This window comes from Homo sapiens, chromosome 3, assembly GCF_000001405.40.
Source record: "Homo sapiens chromosome 3, GRCh38.p14 Primary Assembly".
Taxonomy (NCBI): domain Eukaryota; kingdom Metazoa; phylum Chordata; class Mammalia; order Primates; family Hominidae; genus Homo; species Homo sapiens.
In genome coordinates, this window is record NC_000003.12 from 71,179,063 (window position 1) to 71,205,627 (window position 26,565).

Below are 26,565 nucleotides of genomic sequence, written 5' to 3' on the forward strand. Positions count from 1 at the left end.
GAAATATACTCATTTATTGAAACTAGGATGGCCTACCTATTTTACCATGTTGGAAGTTTCCTCTTAACAATCTTTTTTTTTTTTTTTTTTGAGACGGAGTCACTTTCTGTCACCCAGGCTGAGTAGCACAACCTCAGCTCACTGCAACCTCCGCCTCCCGGGTTCAAGCGATTCTCCTGCCTCAGCCTCCCGAGTAGCTGGGATTACAGGTGCCTGCCACCACGCCCAGCTAATTTTTTTGTATTTTTAGTAGAGACAGGTTTTTGAACTCCTGAGTTCAAGTGATCCACCTGCCTCGGCCTCTCAAAGTGCTGGGATTACAGGTGTGAGCCACTACACAAGTCTTAACAATAACTGTTTAAGAATTGTGCCTAAATATGGAATTACCTGGCACAGCTGGAAGAAGATGAAGAGGGGAGGAGTTAGAAAAACATTAGCCCATGAATGATGCCACTTGAAACCAAGAACATGAATTTTCCCTTAAAACTGTAAACACACAAAATGTGAAATTAAAATTAAGATGAAAATGTGAAACACCATGTAAGAGAATTAACCCTCACAATTCTCACTCATCAGCAACATTACTGCTAGCTCTTTTCTCATCTATAATGTTCGATGGTGGCAATGAGAATACAAATACATAAAATGAGAAGACATGATTTTTACAAGAAAGGGAAAACAGGGTATCCACTGAAATGTTAACAGTTGTTACCTCCATTAAACAGGATTGCAAGCGATATAGCTTTTTTCTCTGTTTGCTTTCTTAGTTGCATCTTCTAATTTTTCTACAACGAATGTGTCATTAATTGTGCCGTTGAAAATTCAAAATTATTTGCTATTCAATTTCCAATTGAAAACATCTGAATTGCACCCAAGCATTACACAGAGCCAGTGCTGAGGATTTCACTCAGCTCTGGCACATGGGATATTTTGTAGGCACTGGTGGAGTGAAGTGACTGTCTCGCCACCTCTTCCAGCACACTCAGCAACCATTCTCTAATTATGCCATAGTCTCTCTGCCAATATTTTATGGGAGTTTTACAAGATGCACCTACAGCTACTTATACTCAGAAATCGGAAGACCTTCTAAAGTTCTTGCTTAAAAAAAAAACCCACCTTTTTGTTTTTCTTGTTCTTGATTCTTTAGAAACTTCCTCAGCCTTCCAGAAATCAACACGGGCCACAAGAATCATGTATTATTTCAGACTAGAACCTAAAAAAGAGACTCACCAGGTAACAGCCTAGGAAGCTACTGATTATATGTAGTATATAATTATTTGCTGTCTTGGTTCTAGGTACTAATCCCATGGAAAATATAGAAAGACGGCAGCAAGGAACATTGAGACATGAAAGTCTTTGCCACGTGTAAAATCGTAGATGTTTTAAAAAAAAATGCAGGCACAAGAATTTAGCAAGAAAAAAAAATAGACATGCCAATAAAAAAGCTGCTTCTTAAAATCTGGCTGGCAGTGTCCTTCCTCTCCCCAAAGGATACTCTTAGTAAAGAAAACATGGTAGATTTTTTTCTCCCTTGCCTGTATTTGATTTCCAATTAAAATTAAATATAAACTGAAACGCCACCTGGATTTCAGCAAAATCCAATCCCCGCCCTCCACCCTTCCTTTTTTAAAAAGAAGAACCTGGGCTTACATATACAAACATTTTGCTAAATGACCCGTGGCAAATTGCGTAATGCCAGTAAAAGTTGTGTTTTTTAAGTTATGAGCCCCAAAGATTTTATCTGAAATAAAACCCTGATTCAATTCAGATTCTGGAGGCAAACTGTGTCCTTAACTCTGCGTCTAAATTTAAAACATTTGTGTGTGGGGCCCCTTCAGTAACGTTGCTAGTAGGTATGGTGGAGAAATTCTGTATTGATTAGGATATGTGTTTTCTTTTCTAAAATGGTAAATTGGGGCACTAATTGCCCACAAGAACCGGTTCCCTGCAGTCTCCAAGTAGAGGTCAGTTTCTAAATGAAGGTTTGCCTGTCAAATAAGAATTCGTACTGAGTTCCATTTATCGCCTCAATGAGGAAAGACAGAACTGTACTTCCATGGAGAAGGGTTCTCCTTGGAGGTCTCCAACAGCCATATCTACAATGACCCAAGATGATTGGATTTTAATATAAAGCGGATGAGGTGGGCTAAAAAATGGAACGGTTCTAAGAACAACTTGATTCCCTCCTGACCTCCACCTTTGGGTCCCCAAGACCTCAACCATGGCTTTTCCCAGTCTTCAAAAGATTCTAAGAAAGGACAATAATAAAGTAAGGAGCACGTTTTAAAGGGTTGGCTATTGTGCCAAGGTCAATAAATTATTTAGCATATTCATCACATCGACCCTCTCAGGAAGTTATCTCTATTGCCCTGTTTTACAGATGAGAAAAGTGAGGCTGTGAGAGATGGCAAAACTTGCCCAACTTCACTCATCGAGTGTAGGCGCTGGTGGGTGGGTTTTCAACTCTCATCAGTGGCATTCCAAAATGCCTCCAATAAAATATTCCTCCTGCCCTTTCCAGCTCCCCAGGGCAGTTTAAATCAGTCTCTAGCAGAAACAACATGAAATGGGGTAAGCAACGAAGTGTATCTGTAATGACTGTGGACATGCGACATGATTAAGCCCACACAGACTGGGAAGAAACTTAGAAGTGGGGAGCAGTGGTGGAAATTTAAAGAAAACAAATGTGGCCGGGCGCGGTGGCTCACGCCTGTAATCCCAACACTTTGAGAGGCTGAGGAGGACGGATGATGAGGTCAGGAGATCAAGACTATCCTGGCTAACATGGTGAAACCCTATCTCTACTAAAAAAATACAAAAAAATTAGCCAGGCATGGTGGTGGGTGCCTGTAGTCCCAGCTACTCAGGAGGCTGAGGCAGGAGAATGGCGTGAACCTGGGAGGCAGAGCTTGCAGTGAGCCGAGATCGCGCCACTGCACTCCAGCCTGGGTGACAGAGCGAGACTCCATCTCAAAAAAAAGAAAAAAAAGAAAAAAAAAGAAAAAGAAAACAAATGTGGTTTTTTAAAAATCCATACTCTTTTTATTGACAGGAAAGTGATTTTTGTCACAAAATGTTAGATAATGAGTAGTGGTTGTCAAATTTGATGGTGGAAGCACCTAGAAGTGAGGCAGAGATCTCCCTGTGGAGAGATAACACCAGGGAGCAGCTAAGTGGTAGCGGAAAACTTAAAGACATTATGGGAGAAAATCCTTGTACCTGCACAAATTGTATTCCCTTATTCCTATGCAAAAAATAAATCTTGTTCAAGGTGCAGGTATTCTCTGCCATTTATATATATCATTTTTATATATCTCACAAGAGTTTTCCAACAGTGTGAATGTGAATTAAATTAAAAATAACTGTTCATTTTTATTATAAAGGCAATACATGTTATTGTAGAAATTTGGGGATATACAGAAAAGTGTAAACTATATATATGTGTGTGTGTGTGTGTGTGTGTGTGTGTGTATATATGTATATATTCTTTTTTTTTTTTTTTTAGTAGAGACAGGGTCTTGCTGTCACCAGTCATGGCTCACTGCAGTCTCAGCCTCCTGGGGCTCAAGTGATTCTCCCACCTCAGCCTCCTGAGTAGCTGGGACTACAGGCAAGTGCCGCCATGCCCAGCTAAGTTTGTTGTTGTTGTTGTTTTTCTTAATTTTTAGTAGATACGAGGTCTAAGCTGCCCAGACTGATCTCGAACTCCTGAGCTCAGGTGATCTTCCAGCCTTAGCCTCCCAAAGTGCAGGAATTACAGGCATGAGCCGCCATGCCTGGCTTAATGTATATAAAATAAACTATAATCCCATTAACAGACCCCCCCAAAAAAAACCATTGACAGCATGTTGCTTTTAGGTTTTTCCCCCAGCAATCATTACATTATGATAATTTTTAAAGTAATTAAATGTTCTACATTTTAATGGGTATATAATTAATATTATATCAAACTTATATGTTAGCATTTTTTAACCTTCTTCTAAGGTTAGAGATTTAGGGTGCATTTAATTTTTCATATTGTAAATACCATTACAATGAACATCCTTAGGCATAAATCTTTCTGCATGCCTCACATTATTTCGGTAGGTTAAATTCCTGGTGATGATGATCATGGCGGTGGTGGTGATGATGATAAGAATACCAAAAGTTGGCCATGCATGGAGGCTCATGCCTGTAATCCCAGCACTTTGGGAGGCCGAGGCGGGTGGATCATTTGAGGTCTGGAGTTCAAGACCAGCCTGGCCAACATGGTGAAAACCTGTCTCTACTAAAAATACAAAAAAACATTAGCTGGGCAATAGTGGCGCGAGCCTGCAATCCCAGCTACTCAGGAGGCTGAGGGAGGAGAATCGCTTGAACCCAGGAGGCGGAGGTTGCAGTGAGCCGAGATGGCCCCACTGCACTGCAGTCTGGGCGACAGAGTAACACCCTGTCTCAAAAACAAAACAAAACAAAAAAAACCCAAAAGCTAATGTTTGCAGACAATTTACCATGTGGTGTGCAAACTTCCAAGCATGATACATTTTATTTAGACTATTAAATGCTAAAATTATTTCCGTTTGATGGATATATAAACTGAGGCACAGAGAAACTTACACAGTCACCCAACTAGCAAGTGGCAGAGCCATGACTCAGGCCAAACATACTGACTCCACAGTCTATGCTGTTAAACTCTGCCAGTGGTTCTTCAACTGGCAGCAAAGAAGAGCTAGAAATAGATATGCAAATTTGGAGGCCCTGCCCCAGATCTACAGAATAAAGTACTTTAGGGGTGGGTCCAGTAATCTATGTTTTAAGAAGCCCTCCAGCGCCTGGCGTGGTGGCTCACGTCTGTAATCCCAGCACTTTGGGAGGCCGAGGTGGGAAGATCACCTGAGGTTGGGACTTCGAGACCAGCCTGACCAACATGGAGAAACCCTGTCTCTACTAAAAATAAAAAATTAGCCCGGCGAGGTGGTGCATGCCTGTAATCCTAGCTACTTGAGAGGCTGAGGCAGGAGAATCACTTGAACCTGGGAGGCGGAGGTTGTGGTAAGCTGAGATCACGCCATTGCACTCCAGCCTGGGCAACAAGAGCAAGACTGTCTCAAAAACAAACAAACAAACAAAAAAGCCCTTCAGATGATGCTCACGCACATAAAAGTTTGAGAACCACTGCTGACTGCCATAGAGCCACTCAGTAAAATTGTATCCCTGATTCAAAGGGTGTGGCTGTTTTAAGCCTCTTGATGTCCAATGCCAAAATACCCTCAGAATAGGGTGTACAAATTTACACTGCCTTCAGCCCTATAAGGGGTTGTCTGTGCACTTACTGTAATCTGTGCTCATTTAGTCAAAGATCTTTCAACTGGTTTATAGGGTTCTGTAGTTAGAAGAATTTCAAGAGTGTGTAAATCTGGTGTTTACATTTCAATAGACATGAAATGGCTCTTGGTACAGATTGCTTTATATGACCTTACTTTCCAGAGTTTGCTTCAGAGCTGGCGTGTACAGTGCTACATTTTAAATACCTGAGAAATTATTCCAGGGACATACTGGGAAGCATTCTTCCAAAAGAGGAACCCTTTTCCAAATTAAAGATAGACAGGTCACTAACATAGTTAACATCAACTAATCATAGAAAAGCCTAAGAGTATTTGTCAAAAGATTGAAACATTTGGCAAATCTAATTAACATACAGAATAGCTGTGTAACGTTTTTTTTTTTGGGGGGGGCATATTGTAGATGAAATTGCAATCGCAAAATTACACATACAAACACACTTTTCAGGGAAAAAGTTATTTGGGTTTCATCAAATTCACAAAGGAGGGGCCATAAACCTGCAAAACATAAAAATGATGGTATTAGAGGCTGGGTGTGGTGGCTCACGCCTGTAATCCTAGCACTTTGGGAGGCCAAGGCAGGCGGATCACCTGAGGTCAGGAGTTCCAGATCAGCCTGGCCAATATGATGAAACCCCATCTCTACTAAAAATACAAAAATTAGCCAGGTGTGGTGGCAGTAGCCTGTAATCCCAGCTACTCAGGAGGCTGAGGCACAAGAATTGCTTGAACACGGGAGGCAGAGGTTGCAGTGAGCCGAGATCAAGCCATTGCACTCTAGACTGGATGACAGACCACGACTCCGTCTCAAAAAAAAAAAGTATTAGAAACATGAACTATGCCAGTACAGATTTTTGCAAATTGTGAGATATAAGTGATCCAATTACAAACTTAAAAACAGAATCAAGAAAGTAAGAAGGGAAAGAAGAAAAGTTGGAAGGGAGAAAATACAAGGGCAACACCATCTCTTCAGAAATCCTGTCAGTTCATAAACAACTAAATTGAGCAAATGCCTTCGAATTTGGCAACTATTTTTAAATTAGGTATTATGGTTTCAGTTATTTCAGCTCCATTATCAATAGAGGTAAATTAGCTAAAATTCAATATAAACGTTTGTGAAATATGGACAACACCAACTAAATTATCACACTTGTCAGCCCACATCTAATCTCTGGAAATCGTACAATCAACTTTGCACCTGGGTAGACAGATAGTCCCAGGCCATTTCCTGGAGACCAATAAGCTCAGATGCTACAGTATGGTATAAGAAGACCTCTCCTCACCATGTGCCTCTAGTCTTTCCAAGTGCAAATCCAAACTTACTTGTCTCAAAATTTAAAATGGCAAAATGGAAAAGACACAGCTTTGGGGCCTTTAAAATCTCTAAGTCAGAAGCCAAACCCATATAGTTCAGTGTATACTTACCATCCATTATCTCCTGATGGAAGAGGTTAAAACAAATCAGCAGATGTGCACATACTGAGACTCTTTCCTAACTTCACCAAGGTCTAGAATCCCACCAACATAGACACAGATTCATCCTCTCCTGGCTACTGAAGATTTATTACCTAAATCACTCACCTATCAATTAGTCATATACATCTCTTCTACAGTTTATCTTCAATTTGCTTTAAAAATTGTAAGAACTTTTCATGTTATCTGTTTATGTCTTACTGCACCTTTACTAAATTATGAAATCTTTGAATGCAGGGTGATACTGAGAATAATATATTTTTATATCCTCTAGCCAACTATAGGACTATGAACATAAGATAGGTTATGTTTTTATGTTAATTTTCTTTGGCATGGAGCCAGGGCCAAGGACATCTGTCTGCTCTGTGAGTGACTCACTAAGTGAGTCCAACCTCCATTTCCTTACTAGACTGGCTGAAGATTCTTTTAACCACCAATAACGTCAAAACTTTTATCTTGTAAGATGCTGTCAGCTGAATGATTAGAAAGGAACTCTAGAGGAATGATGACAATTAGAAGTAATTTTGCCACTCCAGAAATTGTGAAACAAAGTCTTAAACAATAGTATACCTATGGCCAGGTGCGGTGGCTCACGCCTGTAATCCCAGCACTTTGGGAAGCCGAGGCAGGCGGATCACGAGGTCAAGAGATCGAGACCATCCTGGCCAACATGGTGAAACTCCGTTTCTACTAAAAATACAAAAATTAGCTGGGTGTGGTGGCGCAAGCCTGTAGTCCCAGCTACTTGGGAGGCTGAGACAGGAGAATCTCTTGAACCCGGGAGGTGGAGGTTGCAGTGAGCTGAGACAGGGCCACTGTACTCCAGCCTGGCAACAGAGCAAGACTCCGTCTCAAACGAACAAACAAACAAACAAATATATATAGTATAAATAAATAGATATTTTTCAGAGAGAATTTAGAAAAGAGTGACGAATGCTTCCTCAGTTTTGTCACTGTAAAGTAAGGGTAGAAGTCTGTAGAAGGCAAATCTTGTCACATCTGCCATTCATTAATCCAGAGATTGACAAACTTTCTGCAGAGTGTCAGATTAATATCTTAGGCTTTGTGAGCCACACAATCTCTGTTGCAACAACTCACCTCTGCTGCTGCAGCATGAACGCAGTTATAGGCAACAGTAGGCAAGCGGGTGTGGCTGTGTTTCAACAGAACTTTTATTTACTAGGTGGCAGGCTGGATCTGGCCCAAGGGCCAGTTTGCTGATTCCTGGTGTAGTCTGCAGAGTTATAGTGCCTTATACCTAGCCCCTACTCAAAGAAGGTACTGAATGAACAGCTGAGACAAGTTTAAAATTATGTACAGAATGCAATCTTGACAATTACAATTGTGAATCACTACATTACAGAATATAATCTTGATAATTATAACTGTGAATGTCACATACTCAGCTTATGCGTGATGCTTTTCCTGTCCCAAGAACCTATTAATGGGCTGGGGGTGGTGGCTTACACCTATAATCCCAGCACTTTGGGAGGCTGAGGCGGGTGGATCACCTGAGGTCAGGAGTTTGAGACCAGCTTGGACAACATGGTGAAACCCTGTCTCTACTAAAAATACAAAATTGTGGGCATGGTGGCGCACATCTGAAATCCCAGCTACTAGGGAAGCTGAGGCAGGAGAATCACTTGAACCTGGGAGGCAAAGGCTGCAGTGAGCTGAGATCGCACCATTGCACTCCAGCCTGGGCGACAAGAGTGAAACTCCATCTCAAAAAACAAAAAAACTACTAATGATACAGTAAGTCTATATAAATACATGTGATATATACATATAGCACACAGCACAAAACTTTGTGTTTATAAGAAATAGAAATTGAATGAGAAAAATCAGAATATAATCATAAAAATACACACTGTAAATGCATTTTCACTTAATGCTTTTGGATGTTGAATTCCTACTGAGTTGAAATGGAAATATCATCCATAGGAAGAAAAAAATGAGGAAAGGTAAGCAATATTATCACAGTATTATTTATCATACACATTAGGACTAAAAATAGTCAGGAAAGAAAGAGCATTATGTCATTCTCTCCCAGTCTTTAACCTTGTAAAAGGTTGTTGAGTTTGTAAAGGGTATATCAAGAGTGAATACAGGAGGCTATAAAGAGAACTACTTCGTATCATGCAGCCCTGAAAAATTAACACTTAATAATTATAATAATAAAAAGTCACTTTTGCCCTGCTTTAGGATGCTACCTCTTATTTTGTTAATTTTTTCCAAAAATATTCCTTCCTTTGGCTCTGAGAGGCATGACTCTGCTGTTGAAAAGCAAAAGACATTTTACGCACAATTTTCCCTCTACTAGGAAGAGGTATATTGTGCCCTTCAGTGAACATAAAATTGATATTATCATCTCTTAGTTTATATCTCACTACTTAACCTTCAGATTAAAAGTTATTGGATTTGAATGACTAAGAAGACATCATGTCACCTTCCCTTCAATGTGGAGAGACCGAAGTTGAAGATGAGACAAGGTAATGTGATAAAAACACGAATGTAGGATCAGTGGATGCTTTGCCTCTTTTTTTCTTTATTTTTTTTTTCCTTTTTTTTTTTTGAGATGGACTCTCGCTCTTGTAGCCCAGGCTGGAGTGCAGTGGCACAATCTCGGCTCACTGCAACCTCTGCCTCCCAGGTTCAAGTGATTCTCCTGCCTCAGCCTCCTGAGTAGTAGCTGGGATCACAGGTGGATGCCAACACGCCCGGCTAATTTTTGTACTTTCAGTAGAGATGGGGTTTCGCCATGTTGGCTAGGCTGGTCTCGAACTCCTGACCTCAGGTGATCCGCCCACCTCGCCCTCCAAAGGGGATTACAGGCGTGAGCCACCAGCTGCTTTGTCTCTTTTAATAGGTGGCTGTGATACTGACAACTCAGTTGTGTTTGTGTGGATAATAAATTCTGAAATTAATGGTCTACCTGAAGAAACTTTGCTGAAGATTAATATGTGTTAGGAAGTTCATTTTATTTTTGGTACAGTCAAAAAGGAGCTGTCTAACAATAGGGATAAAATAGTTAATTCAAGGGGAACACAGGGTTACCAACCTTAAAAAAAAATCCAATATCCTCCACAGTTGGTATCTGCACTATCAGTTTATGCAGAAGATCCTGCAAAATGTCCACATGGAAGGACTAAAGAGAAAAACAGAGCTTGCTTCCTGCCTTCCCTCTCTGGGCATGGCTAAATTTAAATACACAAAGAAGACTGGGCCTTTATGTCCCCAGGCAGTTTAATCTATACCTCCTAAATGAGTCTTCCAATAGCACCAGCTGTTTAATAATTGCACATTGTACTTTTCCAACAAAAGAAACACAACATACGCTCCCCCACCACCTTAAAAACAAAGTCATTATAAGAAGCTTGTGTCAATATGGAACAAAGACTTTATCAAAGATCTAACTTCATAGTTTTGTTCTCTCAAAGAGATAAGCCCATTCCATGATCAATGGGAACACAAGCATTTTATCAGTACTTCCCATGTGACTTTTGGAAGATGTATTCATTAGTAACTGTCAAAGGCTAAATGGAAAATACTTGATAATTTTAACACAAATAAACATATGCAATCAAAATAGTGAGTTTTAGCTACACAGAATGTCTTTCTGTAGAAGTCTTTTTAAAAAATGACTTTTTCAAAATAAGCCCATCCTTTATTATAAGTTCTTAACCTCCTAGTGGCAGCTAAGAAAGGAGTTCAGGTTCTTCCCCATGCCTCTCTCTTTCTGTTTCATTGGTGCCCCCATTTTGCCAGTCATTAAGATGGAACATCCTGACTCATCATTGGTAACTCCCACTCCTTGGTATTTGCATACCTCATAATTCAAAAGGTCCTGTTTTTCCCAACACTCCCCTCAACAATCTCTTCTTATCCAGTCCTTCCTTTCTCTTTCTGTGTCACTCATTCATAAATAGTCTGTCACAGAACTGCCCTACATCAGGTACTGTGCTGTGTGCTGTGGAAGTACCAGGTAATGAGGAAGGTGATCCCGGCCCCCATTCCCTGATGGAACCTAGACTTCACTAAGGGATTCAGATGGAGGAGGAGATGTTCAAGAAGCCAGGAGGGATCAACAACAGGGTGCCCTCAATTCACTGGGGCCACGTTAGTGGCCGATTACTAAATGTCAGACCAACTGCAGTAGCGCTGTCATGGCCACTCATCTCTCCGGGATTTCTTCCCTTCCAAGCCAGCTAGGTTCAACCTTCTCATTTACTTTTAATACACCACCTCTTATATGATCTTTCTTCTCTACTTAGAACCCTCCCATAAGCCGAACCCAATCTGCCTTTTCACCATCTTCCCATCTTCCTACTGCCTCCATAGTTATTCTTCGGGATCTAGCTAAGTAAACTCTAAGTTATTCTCCCATGTTTTCCTAGCACCTAACATATCAGTTCCCCCTCCACCCCCATTTTCTTCCACATACGGAGGCTCAATAAATAATAGTTAAATGAGGCTGGGTGTGGTGGCACATGTCTGTAATCCTGGCACTTTGGGAGGCTGAGGCAGGAGGATCGCTTGAGCCCAGGAGTTCAAGACCAGCCTAGGCAATATAGTGAGACCCATATCTCTACAGGAAAACAAAAAGAAAAACAACAACAAAAAAAAAACAGCTGGCCTGCCGTCCCAGCAACTCAGAAGCCTGATGGTGGGAGAATCGCTTGAGCCCGGGGAGGTAAAGCCTTCAGTAAGCCATGTAAGCCATGATCGCAACCCTGTACTCTCTGTACTCTAACCTGGGTGACCGAGCTAGACCCCATCTCCAAAAAAAAAAAAAAAAAAAAAAAGAAAAAGTTAAATGAAAATATGCAAATGATCAAAGAAATAAATTGCAGCTGTTTTCTAGTGGAGCTCACTTATGAGCCCACTTGCAACAAAGCTGAGACAAGGTCAGTATGGGAAACTCTTCATGACATTTTCTTGTCGGCAGGGGAGGGGAGATAATGTGGCTCTATTTTTATGAATCAAATCAAACACAGTATTTAGCAAAGGGTCTCTGGAATGTTACAAGTAACACTTCATAATTACAATAGATTTGAGTTCAAAGACAAAGTGATGAAAAGAAACTTTCTAACATGGGGTTCAATTCCCTACATAAACTTCCTTCTTGTGGCTCAGTGTACCACTGGCATTTATATTGCTATTCTTCTTTGTCATAAAAGCAGTCACCTTGTAACCCTTTTTATCAAGTAATCTATGCACTACCTAAAAGTACACTAGACTCCATCAGGCGAGCTATAGGTTTACATTATATAAACATTCCAATTCTGCCTGCTCAGCACTAGTTGTTGATAAACGCAAGCCATTGCAAAACAGCAAAGTAGGTTCCTTGCCTTCAGAGAGCAGATAGGACCTGCCAGTTCTGCAAAAACAAACTCTTGGCAATCACTGAAACTAATCTGTCAACAAATTACCATTAAAGTCATACCTCCTGAAAGTTCAAAAACAGACTTGTGAGTAGACAAGAGATAGGGCGTTCTTTTTTTATGATTATTTTTATTAGCTCACCGGTCAGGGCTTAAAATTATCTTTTCAAAGTGGCAAAGCTTTCTCTTGAAGTCAAGAGGGTACACTTCACTCATAATGAAATGTGGCACCTGGCTTTCTATTACCACATTCTCCTCTGTTACAGGTCTTTTTTCTTCTTTTGCTTCTTGTGCCATTTTAATTTTCAATGGAGAGATTAATGACACATAACTGTTTAGTAATCAAAACTTGAAAGAATTTCATACAAGGCTCAAATCACAAGTTACATAAATCTTTGACAACAATATTTTGATGGAAGGCAGGTCTAAACTAACAGAGTAGAGAACTAAATTTAGCATTCAGGGTGAAATATGCCTTTTCTAGAAACAGCCCCAAAGGGAATTAAGAACATGTTGGGGGGTCAGTGTTGTGGCTGCTTTTTCTTTATTTGTCAGAATTATCTGAATCCTGTCTCAGTTTTGTTTCAATTTGTTTGTACGGTTATCACTAACATTTTGGTGGCATTGATTCCTACACAAAATATTTTTGACCATCAATACTTTTCACGTTATTTGAACTATGCAAGGTCTTCAATAAAAGTGTATCTCAGCATAGCAATTCCTTTAAAATTACAGCTGGGTTTTTACCTACTAGCAAGGGAAGGTGCTAGCCCCCAGCACAGTACCTGGCCCCATGAAAGCATTCAATAAATACTAATAATACCTTCTTCTATGCCCCCTTTCTGGAAGTTCCCCTTCTAGGACACAGAGGTGCTGATCAGCTTTTCCCTGTCAGCATCAAGAGACCCTCCTTTCAGACACAGTCAGTCTCCAGCAGCTACAACGGGAAAGGCCAATTGAGGGCATTTCTAACAAAGTTCATAAGCCACCTTTTTCAAAGAAAAAAGTGGTAGAATGGTACGGCCAATCCAGCCATTGCTACCCAGTCTTTACACCTATAGATCCATACCATATAACCTGCGTCATTTCCCATAAGGTATGAAACAAGGCCAGGAATGGCCTCTGGAATTTTAATATGGTGCCCCAGAGGCCTATGGGTAAAAATGAGATCCAAAGAATGAGATGCAATAAGCACCTTCATCCAGTGGTGGTTGCTGCCAGTACAGACACCAACAGCTATTTCTTGCAGGCATTGTTTCTCACAGAGGCAGTTAAAAAGCTGGAAATGTTTGTGAGACAGCTTTCTTCTTCTACTCAATGTCCACCAGCAATTTCACTAACAAAAACTAATGAAGGGATGGATTTTGCCATTTTGAATGTGAAGAAAATAATTTTCATTTGCTTGTGTATTTTTTGTTTCTTGAAACAGGGTCTCAATCTGTCACCCAGCCCAGGCTGGAGTGCAGTGGCAAGATCTCAGTTCACTGCGGCCTCGACCTCCCATGCTCAAGGGATCCTCCCACCTCAGCCTCATGAGTAGCTGGGACCACAGGCATGTGCCATCACCCCTAGATAACTTTTGCATTTTTTGTAGAGACGAGGTTTTGCCATGCTGCCCAGGCTAGTCTCAAACTCCTCAGCTCAAGGAATCTGCCCGCCTTGCCCTCCCAAAATGGTGGGATTACAGGCATGAGACACTGCACGCAGCCTGCTTGTATATTTCTTTATGCTGAAAAGAAAAAAGTATTTCTACCCTCCTCCCCCACTTAAAACACTGATACTATGGTCCCTCAAATACCATTTCCCATGTTCAGAGGACCCTGGGATATCAATTCCTGATTCTCTCAGGTTCCTCTGGCACTGTATTTTCTACATCCCCTTTGTTTGTTGTTGTTGTTGTTGTTGTTTATTTGTGTTTTTTTTTTGAGACGGAGTCTTGCTCTGTTGCCCAGGCTGGAGTGCAGTGGTGGGATCTCGGCTCACTGCAAGCTCCGCCTCCCAGGTTCACGCCATTCTCCTACCTCAGCCTCCAGAGTAGCTGGGACTGCAGGCGCCCACCACCACACCCGGCTAATTTTTTGTATTTTTTAGTAGAGGCGGGGTTTCACCATGTTAGCCAGGATGGTCTCAATCTCCTGACCTCGTGATCTGCCCTCCTCAGCCTCCCAAAGTGCTGGGATTACAGGCGTGAGCCACTGCGCCCAGCCGTTATTTGTTTTTTTTTTTTAGACATATTCTCACTTTGTCGCCCAGGCTGGAGTGCAGTGGTGCAACCTTGGCTCACTGCAACCTCTGCCTCCCAGGTTCAAGTGATTCTCCTGCCTCAGCCTCCTGAGTAGCTGGGACTACAATCGTGCACCACCATGCCCAGCTAATTTTTGTATTTTTAGTAGAGATGGGGTTTTGCCATGTTGGCCAGGCTGGTCTCCAACTCCTGGCCCCAAGTGATCAGCCCGCCTCGGCCTCCCTAAGTGCTGGGATTACAGGCATGAGCCACCACAGACAGCCTCTACATCCCCTTTGAATGTACATAACTAGACTCTTTGCCTGAGTCCCACCCATTTCTCTGAGCTTCTTGCGTTCTGGGAAATGACTAATCTTTGACCTCCTTCAATGGTTCATTGGAAAAATTCAACCCGATGGGTCCTCTTTACTCCCCTTCTTCTTTTTCAAGAGAAGTTCCCTATCTACCGTTCCCACCTCCTTGCTAGTCATTTCACATTTTCTCTCCTTCTTTTACATTGTTAACTTAAAACATACTCACTGTCTTCTGGGCCACAAGACCCAACACCTTAAACCAGATGTCAAAGAAAGAAGCCACGGGAAGTAAACACTTTGCTTATCCACACTTTCTAAATAATACATGTTCAAATTCTAAATATGGCATATCTTAAAAGTTTTTTCTCACAGATTCCCTCTAAACTGCTCTCTTCATATAAAATGATAGCCACACCTCAGAACTGCAGCAACCAAAGCTCTCTCTATACTGACTTGCAGACAATAAAACTGCCAGGTGGTACCAAAAAAAAAAAAAAAAGAAAGAAAGAAACCCCACAAAAACCTCATCATTAAATGGAATGTTGTTAAGAAATAGCTGTTTTATTTAACAGCTATTCATTTTTATTGAATAAACATTTTCTAGTATGCATTCTGTTAATTGACCTGACAGCATATGCTGTATATGGAGAAACTTCTAAACATTATGCTCTATGTAATATGCTTATCTGAAAAAGCTCTCATTTGCAGCAATATGGAAATAAAATTCTGCTTTCTAAAATTCAAGACTTTTAAAATGCATTAATCCACACAGTTTATGAAATTGTTCTGGACATTTTAAAATCCTTTCTTTAAGGAAAAAAAAAACTTTAGTAATTGCTAATAGTATTTGTTGCTGAGTTTCATAATGGAGCAGTGCACATCCAATACAACTTTTACAGACATAGAAATGGTGCAGGGATAATAGGAAATAAAAAGCAGTTATGGTATCGGGTAAAGAATTACTCAACAGATAAAAGAAAATGTTCAGAAACTCTATCAAATTATATTATTAGAAAACTATTGTTATAATAGTTTCATGGCTCAGACATAAATAGAGTTGAAACATTACAGAGATAATACATTTAGTCTTGAGGAAGAAAGACAGTTTGTGAGTGTGTTGGCGGGCTCTACCAGCTAATGGCAGCACCTCTCTTGGGCTGATGGCTTCTGAGTGATGAGTCTACCTTCCAGCCCAGAATCGCCAACTCCGCTACCTAGAGGCATAAATGAGCAATGCTGCTGGTGGGAACGAGAGCAGGCTGGAGGGCTCCCTGTCTTCAATAGCAATTCATCTCCCAACAATTGTTGCCGTTGTGGGACTATCAGCCCAAGGTTACCAGATATTCTAATTTTTCAAAAGAAGATGGAAAAGCCAGATTTGCCCCATTTCTCTAGGTTGTCAACTAACTAATTTTTAGAAATGACAATACCATTTGAACGCAATTAAGCCAACCTATAAACAAAACTCACTATGGAACTAGTGCACTCCATAGTGAATCTTTGTCAGGGCCCTCCCATTCTGAAAACGGCATTTGCTGTAATTTGTAATTATCTTTGATAATATGAAGCAAACATGGAAAGGTTTGCATTTATTTATTTTATATCCTGGCACTGAGTAAAAACTCTCCCCGTATCCTCAATGATGGTATTGGTGCAACTGGAAAATCCTCCAACATTCAATATAACACACAGCGTAATTAACTCGTTTTTATACCAGGCCCTTTTAAGCCAGATCTTTGTGTTCCATGGACTTCTAACATATTTTACAGTTCTAATTCTCTTCCACTGTCCTACATTAATCAAAGCTGTAACCCCTGTTGTCTTTGTACTACGGAATCTGAATGTGCCCCTGGCGAGGAATGGGGGAAAAGTCAACAGGAATTAAATTTCAGTGCAACTGTTTACTCAACTGTGGCCTGCAGTTATTGAAATTTTATCCGTGGTTTTGTGTGACTACCGCAGTAATGAATTCAGCATGGCTATGATTTTCTCACTGCTGGTATTCTCACTTCAAGTAAAAACCTGTAGAATAAAAATGATGAAAACAACCATAGTCCATTGTAGAATGCTCACATTTCTCCAAACTGTCTAATTGTCGCAGTTTTCAGTCTGGAAGAAAACTCTGATAACTCTAGTCCTGTAGAAATATTTTCAGGCCTGTAGTTTTTCTTATTTCATCTACAGATTTCCCTTTTCCCCAACAACCTGTTAAAAGCCTTATCATATACTTAGGGGAGTTGAACAGCTGTCAATGTTATATTTTAAAAGACTTCAAAAGGCTTTGCTAATCACAATACAGGGGGTTTTAGCCACAGTGATAGACCCCACTGCTTTGTTTCTTCCCAAAATGTGTCAACGACATACGGAGAAAAAACTGTCATAAAAACATTTAAAAACAGTATAAAAGTCTAATCATAATACATTTCTTGACCTTTGTGTCAATAACCCATAACAACAAATTTTCCAAAGTGGACACAGCCAAAGGAAGATGTGGATAAATATGTTTGCAACTGATACTTTTTAAGGAAGATGTTGGTGAAATATGCTTTTATAATTTTATTCTATGTAGCCAATTTGTTATCACTGTTGTGTGTGTGGGCGCATGTGTGTGTGCACATGTTTTGATGGTTTATATGTAAAGTTTTTTGGCTGGCTTACTACTTTGAGATCCTGAATGATTTTTAGCTCCTCAAAAAAAATCAGAATTTCCCATTTATGTAATTAATGTACTCTAAATATTAATTATTTAGTATCACATCAGTCAGTAGTAGCCCCATATCAAGTGCTCAAGTGCTTCATAAAGAAATGGGCAATCTTGACACTTGTCTGGTAAGGGCACAGAAGATAGCATTCAGCAACATTAACTATTTGTTCTGAATAAAATGGCTGAGAACATCACATGAACATGTACTTGCACAAATACACGGAGACCCTTTTACTATCTACTGCTGGGTTTTGCTAACAACCTCACTGGTTGGAATTTGGCCATCTGCACTAACTTAAATGCACAAAGTTTATACACAACAAGCATCACAAATTCCAGCTGAAGTGAGCCAGTGGTGCAGGCACAAATGGGTTTGGGCTGCCAATGAAAGAAAGATCAAATCACTTGCAGGAAGTCCTCTGAATTAAGACTTTTGCTGGTCTGTTACTTTTCCTTTCTTTCGCTTTGTTGCATCTTTCTCCCAACAGGTTCCACAGGCTCATGTTGGTTCCACCACCTTGTAAGGAGCTAACAGTCTAATCATTCCTTATTCCTTAAAAAACTCTTCGCAAGGAGAAAATAAAACATGCTTTATAGCTTGTCTCCAAGTTGCATCCCAAACAAGCTTAGCTTCTCTGACACAGATTCCAAGAAAATGGTTTGAGCACTTTGTCCCTATCTTCTTCCTCCCCACAAGAGTTCCTGCAGCTTTCAGAAAGGCCCAAAGATACTTCATTCTTTTTAATTCACCTGTTTCTGAGTGGCGCCATAACTATGTTTTGAATAAGTAAATCAAGAACAAAACCGGTCATAAACCATCTATTATTATTAACAAAGCCTAATAATATTTCCTGATTCCGAGGAATCAGGAAAGGCGGGAAAACCAAAGCCAGTCTTCAAGCAAATGTTGTTTACTTATTTGAATATTTATCAACACTTTGACAACAGAACACTATTTCTTGGGTCGCCTGTACCATTCGGAAATATTTTACCAGTCACTCACAGGTACCCAGGTCCATACCTGTAAAAAGTATAACTAACAGGAATGAGTACATCCCAACTTATGTACATTTTGGGGAGGCACCAATAAGAGCTAATTTAAAGCAGTAAGACTTAGCCACAAACCCAGTGCTGCATGAATACAGGGAACATATGTAAATACTCTATACCCCCAAATCCTACTCGTAGAGGGAAGCAGCTTCCTACAGTGATGCCCGTGTTCTAGATGTTTTGGCTGTTATCTCGCCATCTCCGCCTGTCTTTCTATGTATTTATTTCAACTCTCCTTACTCATCTACTCTTTTTCTCTCTTTTATTCCTTAGCTCTTATTTCCTTCTTCACAGGCTTAAGCCTGTTTTTCGTTTAATTTTTATTTTTGCATGAAAGCAGTGGGAACCATTTCTCCAAAGAATAATTTTATTCAAAATGGGGAAGGGTTAGGCTGACACACAGGTCCACTCATCTTCGTCTCAGCAACTGCTCCCCACAAGGGGACCTGCAGGACTTCCAACTCCCAAGGGCTTGAAATTAGTCTCTTAAGCCAACTGCTGGGACTCCTAGAGGGCTGATGGTTTATGAGATGCCACTGACAGACAGAAAGACAGATGGACAGACAGGTGAACACAAAACACTGATCGCGAGATCGCGATTAAGTGTAAAATTCAGCAGTAAAATTCGCACCCACCACCTCCACCTCCCAAGACTCCAAAGCCCAGTACCTGTTGCTGCTGCTGCTGGGCGTGGGCGAGGTCAGCTGCCCCGATGTCCACGGCCGGCGTCTCTCCGTTGGACCGCCCCTCCCGAAGACCGCCGCACTCTAGTAAGTGGTTGCTGCCGCCCGACCCATTCTGGATGGCTGAACCGTTACTTTTTGTCTCAGTCCCAGATTCTTGCATCATGACTCAAAAACCTGATACAAGGATTTCCAAGATGGGGGGAGGGAGGGGGGGAGAAAAAAAAAGCAGCTGTTAAAGCAGTTGTTGTGCATAAGGAGAAGGGCCTTGGTTTAAATGTTGCCAAAATCTGTAAACAGTTGTCATTTTCTTTCACTCAACTTATCCCCTCATTAGTGGGCCATGCCCCTAGTTTCGGGTCTGAAACTGTCATTCCCAATTCAAGTTTCAGTAGTATTGTTTTAAATATATTACTTTTTTACCCTTAGAAAAACTAGTATTTGTAAGTAAACCTAGAATTCAAGATTAAATTTTTCTTTTTTCTTTTTTTTTTTGAGATGGAGCACGGCTCAGTCGCCCAGGCTGGAGTGCAGCGGTGCAATCTCGGCTCACTGCAACCTCCACCTCCCGGGTTCAAGAGATTCTCCTGCCTCAGCCTCCGAGTAGCTAGGATTACAGGTGCATGCCACCATGCCCGGCTAATTTTTTGTGTATTTTTAGTAAAGAAAGGGGTGTTTCACCATGTTGGTTAGGCTGGTCTCAAATTCCTGACCTCGTGATCCACCCGCCTCGGCCTCCCAAAGTACTGGGATTGCAGCCACTGCGCCGGGCCCAAGATTAAATTTTTCTTCTATCTGGTTCCTTTGCTCAAAAACCAGCAAGTCATCCTATAGAGCATATTAGGTATAAACATTAAATTTTAACATGTGCAGGCACTATTTGTTGGTATTACACTTTTTTTTTTTTTTTGAGACAGAGCCTTGCTCTGTCGCCGAGGATGAAGTGCAGTGGCGCTATCTCTGCTCACTGCCTCCGCCTCCCGGGCTCAAGCAATTCTCCTGCTTCAGACTCCCAAGTAGCTGGGATTACAGATGCCCACCACCAGGCCCAGCTAATTTTTGTATTTTTAGTAGAGACAGGGTTTCACCATATTGGCCAGGCTGGTTTTGAACTCATGACCTCAGGTGATGCACCCGTCTCGGCCTCCCGAAGTGCTGGGATTACAGGCCTCGTGAGCCATGGCACCTGGCCTAAGGTACTAAAATTCTAATAGAAAAAATATATATAGGCCTGGGGGCGGTGGCTCACACCTGTAATCCCAGCACTTTAGGAGGATGAGGCAGGTGGAACACTTAAGGTCAGGAGTTCGAGACCAGTCTGGCCAACATGGTGAAACCCTGTCTCTACTAACAGTAGAAAAAAAGAAAAAAAAAATTAGCCAGTCATGGTGACAGGTGCCTCTAATCCCAGCTACTCGGGAAGCTGAGGCATGAGAATTGCTTGAACCTAGGGGGTGGAGGTTGCAGTGAGCCAAGATCACGCCATTGTACTCCAGCCTAGGTGACAGGGTGAGACTCCGTCTCAAAACAAAAGAAAAAAAAATAGGGTGCAAAATGAGTAGCTAGAAAATATCACTTAGGGCCAGGCGCGGTGGCTCACGCCTGTAATCCCAGGACTTTGGGAGGCCGAGGCGGGTGGATCACGAGGTCAGGAGTTCAAGACCAGCCTGGCCAATATGGTGAAACCCTGCCTCTACTAAAAATACAAAAATTAGCTGGACATGGTGGTGTGTACCTGTAATCCCAGCTACTCAGGAGGCTAAGGCAGGAGAATTGCTTGAACCGGGACCTGGGAGGCGGAGGTTGCAGTGAGCTGAGATCGCACCACTGCACTCCAGCCTGAGCTACAGAGCGAGACTCCATCTCACAAAAAAAAAAAAAAAAAAAAAAGAGAGAAAATATCACTTAGGTGTAAATACATTTCACATTCACTCTTATTACTCTCTGGGCACAAAACCATTATCCCAGAGAGCCGATTCAGCACTTGGCTCAGAAAAGATGTTCAAAGATGAGAAAAGACAGATAGCATTTGCTAATACCAACTGCTACCATCTACTGATCACCAGTGTTGGGTCAGGCAGGCCCTAATGCAGGTGATTTACACATATTCTCCAATTTAGTGCTGCTGATGATTGTTACCCCCAGTTTGCGGATGAGAAAACTAAGGATCCACAAGTTATTTAGTTTGTCCACTACATGTCACAGCTAGTAATGGTGGAATCAGGATTTGAAGCAGTTCAGTTAAGTCAAAGCCCTTTACCACAATGTGTATTTTTAAAGTTGAGGTTCAGTGGGGGCAAAACAATGAAAACGGCAGGCTCACACTCCAAGTTCACAGACCAGAATTTGGAAAAGGAAAAGCAACAATCATTAAAGGAAGTGAAGAGTTCAAACATGAAAGCTGAGAAATGCCTGAATAATTAAGACTTTAATGTGAAATACCAATCCCAGATTAAAGGGCAGAAAATTTTTAGGCAAATGTGTTCCAATTGTGGAAGGACATATGTACAACCAATGCTACAGATTTCTGCCCCATACATGAAATGTGACAACAGGGAAATTTCAATCTTTGGGTATCTTTAGAGGACATTGTTTTCTTGCTAGAAATTGGATGAAGTCTGTTTTCTACAGACTTGCACAAAAACCAAATGGAAAAATTAAAAGCAGAAAAATTCACATGTTTCTTCATTTCCTTTCACTGTATAGCATGATCCAACTTGATACAGACTCTTCATAAACCCAAAGACGTATATATTTTTTAAGTTGATTCAATTCAAAAGTGGATTGAGAATGGCATTTTTCACTAGCAGGTGGGAAACAAACTCAGAAGTAACAGCTGATTCACTCTCATTTTTTGATTTCTATTATTATTTTTTCATTCTCATGTCTTCAGATCAGACTTTCTAATAACTACAGTCCTTTAGAAATTGCAGTTATATTCTTACTGTCCACAGAGTAAAGCGTCTATCAAAAATAACCAAAATCTTCCCTAAGATATAAGAATCAGGTAACAAGATAATTTGTGACAACATGAGTGCCTTGTTCATCACCAAAAAAGAAATGAATTAGTGAAACCTAGGTACTTTTCCCTGGGCGTTTCAGTCTCTCTTCCACAAACTTGCCCCTTTGTACAGAACTAAAGGAAAAGAGCCGGGTGCAGTGGCTCATGCCTGTAATCCCAGCACTTTGGGAGGCCAAGGCAGGCAGATCACTTGAGGTCAGGAGTTCGAGACCAGCCTGGCCAACATGGTGAAACTGCTCTCTACTAAAAATACAAAAAAATTAGCCGGGCATGGTGGCACATGCCTGTAATCCCAGCTACTCGGGAGGCTGAGGCAGGAGAACTGCTTGAACCCAGGAGGCAGAGGTTGCAGTGAGCAGACAGCATGCAACAGAGCAAGGCTCTGTCTCGAAAAAAGGGGGCGGGGAGAGGGAAAAAAAAAAGAATTATAGGAAAAGGCACAGTGTTAGGTATTTAAGCAAGAGAGCATTTGTCTTAGAGTAGGTAGCAAGGAAATCCATCTAATTATCGGGATATATCTCAAATATATATAAAGAAAAAATCTATAGATATAGATTTAAAAATATGTATATATATAGATATTTTTCCTTCTGGGAATACCTTCCCATACCAGGGACTTGATCCCCAAAAGACAACAACATTGCACATATATAAACTCTATCCCTGCCCTAAGAATGAGGCATAAATATTTAGCCAAATATCCTGTCCTGATGGAAGAGAACTGCAGGTAGAATGCTGCTTTCAGACTATGTGACCATCGGGATCCCAGGCCTGAGAGCAGGTGTCTAAGAGATTGGTCCTGCTTTTGTTTCCTTGGTGAGACACCATTCTGGTGGGTGGAGTAAGAACAGTCTCCAATACACAATTTGATGAGAAGGCCCTGTTTTTGCTCCATGCAGTTCCAAAGCAGACTGCCAAGTCCTCCAGTACAAGTTTTGCAGGCATCAAGCCAAGCAGCTTGGCTTGTGAATCAGGTTTGTGAGAGTGCAGGCTTTGGGACCAAAATTGCAGAAAGGATTATTTTGGTCTGAGGATGTCCTTAATTAGTCAAGTGCTAACAGTAGTATGTAGGTTGGAAGATTTAAAATTTCCCATAATCTCCCACACCAATCAGGAGAAAACAGCTTTTTGAAAAGCACATGTGAAAAAATAGGAGTGTCAATGTCTAAGAACATTTCTAACAGTGTCTGGGCCAGCAATATTTCTATCAAACGTTCCAAGTCATTTAATAAGCCTTTATATCTGTATCACACTTCACAAATTGCAAAAGCCCTCTGATGTGCTTTTCAAACTTGTAACAAGGCTAGGAGGGAGATAAGGCAGGTAAATGTTATCCCCATTTCACAGATAAGAAAACTAAAGCTCAATCGGTTAAGGGATAGATGTAGCCATAACTATTCTGTTTCAGACATGAACTTGTCCATTATTAAGAATCTCCAGTTTGTAAAGTCCTGTGCTGGGTAGTGGATAATGAAATTAATGAAAAGAAAACTAAGGAAATTCCAGAAAAGACAACAATGAGAGTGGCAGGTGGACAAAGAAAAGCATTAAAATACAATGATATAAGCCATCTGCACTATTTTGCAAACAACTGTCTTTTTCTTTTGACTTTTCACTATTAGAGTCATCTGAAATCAAGTCAATATATAGGAGAGGAATCTATCTTCTCCATCAAGGGACGTTGCACCCTCTTTTCTTCGAGGAAGCTTGTCTCAGGCACCCGGTATGCATAACCTCTGCTTCTCTCTGGGGGAATAACTAACTCTATAACTAACTAACTGCCTTGCTCCATGACATACTGACAGCAGGAAACACTGTGTAATCATACAAAGTGCCTGAATACAAAGGTATGGCCACACCATACCCACAAACAAGTCCTTCTTCCAGAAACAAGACCAAATCTTCCTCTGCTTTCCTGTGTGGCATCTCCAGATGAACTGAGCCTGTTTAAATCACGTGATCCATTTAATATAACCCTACAAAGGTCAATGCTGCAATTGCATAGATGTCAAAAAGCCTAAAGAAGCCAAAATGATCTACTTCTCATCTTGCTTGGAAACATTACAGAGCTACTGACTTCAAAGGTTCGATTTTTGTGCTGGAGGGACTTGTAGAAAAGGACAAGGACTGAGTTTAGCATGCTTATTTATTGTTGTTGCCAACAGAGCTGCTCTCTGGAAGTATTCTGGAAAATTCATAATGTCCAGGCCAATGTATTTATAGTAAATTAAAGCTGTGCTTTATTATTATGATTATTTCCTTGGTTACAGTGTTGATGCTGAAAATTTAGGGAAAATAAAGCCCTTGTTATCATGCTTGTGAAAGATTTTAAGCTAACAAAAAGTTCAGTCTTGATTCCAGGGCAGTTAATTAAGGTTGACCAAGTCAGGCAGAAGTAAATTAACTTGGCTGATCAATTATTTATATGAAGCAGAATAAATGCCCTTAAAGAAGTTGGTCTCTTCATAAAAGGATGTGTAAATTAAACTAAACATAGTTTTGTAAAATATGTTTCTATTTCTATGGGGAGAAGAGAAGTTAATGGTGAAATCACTATTAGGAAAATTATTAGAGTAATTACACAGTCCACCCCCCATCCGAAAAGAAAAATTCTCTTTCTCATTGTTCATCCATGTGCAGAGAAAAAAGGAAGATGGCATGCAATTCTGAAGAGATAACAGAAGCTCATGGAAAAGGAAGGAGGAAGGAAGGAAGGAAGGAAGGAAGGAAGGAAGGAAGGAAGGAAGGAAGGAAAAGAATGTGAATTTCACTGTGTAGATTTCATTATTTTGGAAATATTGAACACATGCCTCTTACTTTATTGTCAGTTAACTCCATGCAGTTAGTAGACTGAGAAAGAATAAGGATGAGACTCAGACTAGCTTTAGCTCTAAGAGAGGTACTTTTAAAATTACTCATGTTGCATCATTAAGATTTAAAACCTTCAATAATCGTGTTCATGCCACTGAGGAAAAAAGAAGACCAACCTGTCTATATTATGATATAAAGCATACATTTAGTTCTGGTTCTCATCAAGCAAACGAACTGGTTCCCTTTTAATGTGCAAAGGGTTTACAAGGCAACATAAGACAAACAAAGGAGTTTTAAGCAGTGGGGTGCAGCTCCACAGACTTTTTTCCCCTAGTAGGCAAACGGTAGGGTGGCCTAGGATATTAAACCAGTTCTGTACTCTTTAATGCTCATGTGGGTGTTACTCTCTTCACAACAGAGAGGGAATCAAGCAATGGAAATCCCAGATGAAAGCCACAGACTCTCAGTAGAGGACTGCAACAATGGAGACATCACATTTGCTAGCATGAGGGCCATGCTTTTACACTGCTCACCCGTCACCTGGCGAGATGCTGCTGGAGCAGGTGGCAATGAGGAGATGAGGCACTGACTGGTGGAGGGGATGACAAATGAGACTTAGTGGTTAAGGAAGCAGACAGAAAGATGGCAGCCCCAAGATGTAGAGTTACTGTCTACAAATGGGCTTGGATGGGCTACTCTTAAGAAAAAAACAAAAAGGGTAGATGGGAGGAGAAAGAACAAAACAAGAGAAACAGAGTTAGATCAGACAATTGTTTTCTCACCTGAGATAACTTCTACAAATTATGAATGAACCCTACAGACACACCATTTGTCTATCCACTGTCCTCCTGACCCGGGTCCCATTTCATGGAAAGACTACCCAAGAGCCAAGTTTAGGAGGCAAAGTCAGTGTGCTGACTGTGTTATGAAGGCACCGTCTTCCAATACCACATTTTCATAATTATAACAGAAAGGCGTAAATTTTCTAAAGCATGGCAGTTCAAAAAGTAATCAAGGGAATGAGCCGGAGGGCTATTTTAATGTATGCAAAGCTAGTGACCCACAGTAAATGGGAGGTAAGCTACAATGAATGCAAAGTAATGCACACATACTACAGTCCTGGTCTGATAAGGGACGGCTAAAATTAACACCCAATTAATTTCCGAATTGACAAACAAATGAAACCCATAAATCTACTTTCTCATTAATTTTCTTGTGGTATAATTTAAAGCAGTAATATGAGGGCCAAAACTGAACATTATCCATCATAAATATCAGAAGGATAGCACTGTAACACCATAAATTATGCATATTACCTGTTGTTAAAAATGATTTATGTATTATCAACTTTATCATGCACCATAGATGTCTATCTACATGTATCTTTAAAAATCTGGAATTTCATTTAGCCCCTCTGGAAAAAAAGTTCAGGAGCAATGAAATTGTCAAAAGCATGTTTTAAAAAAAAACAAAACCAAAACAAATGTGGCCACTCATTTAGCCATACAGGAGGATCAGGTAAAACTGGAATCATTCCAGGTCTCAGGTGAGTAGAGGCTAAGAACCCATGGAAGTGAGG

The 26,565-nt window shown here is 40.8% G+C and overlaps 1 protein-coding gene across 12 annotated transcripts in view; it reads right to left on the reverse strand.

The window, feature by feature from the left end:
* The window catches only part of FOXP1 (forkhead box P1), a 629,271-nt gene that overhangs the window by 224,355 nt on the left and 378,351 nt on the right, over window positions 1-26,565 (reverse strand). For 11 of the 12 annotated variants that reach the window (NR_146143.3, NR_146142.3, NM_001244810.2 and 8 more), the window contains one exon: window positions 19,140-19,330. Coding sequence is in view for 10 of the 12 variants with exons in the window: in NM_001244810.2 (NP_001231739.1) it covers window positions 19,140-19,319 (180 nt within the window). In the remaining 2 variants the exon portion in view is untranslated. Of the gene's footprint in view, window positions 1-18,819; window positions 19,007-19,139; window positions 19,331-26,565 lie in introns of those variants that run through there. The other variant, NM_001012505.2, reaches the window with a different exon arrangement.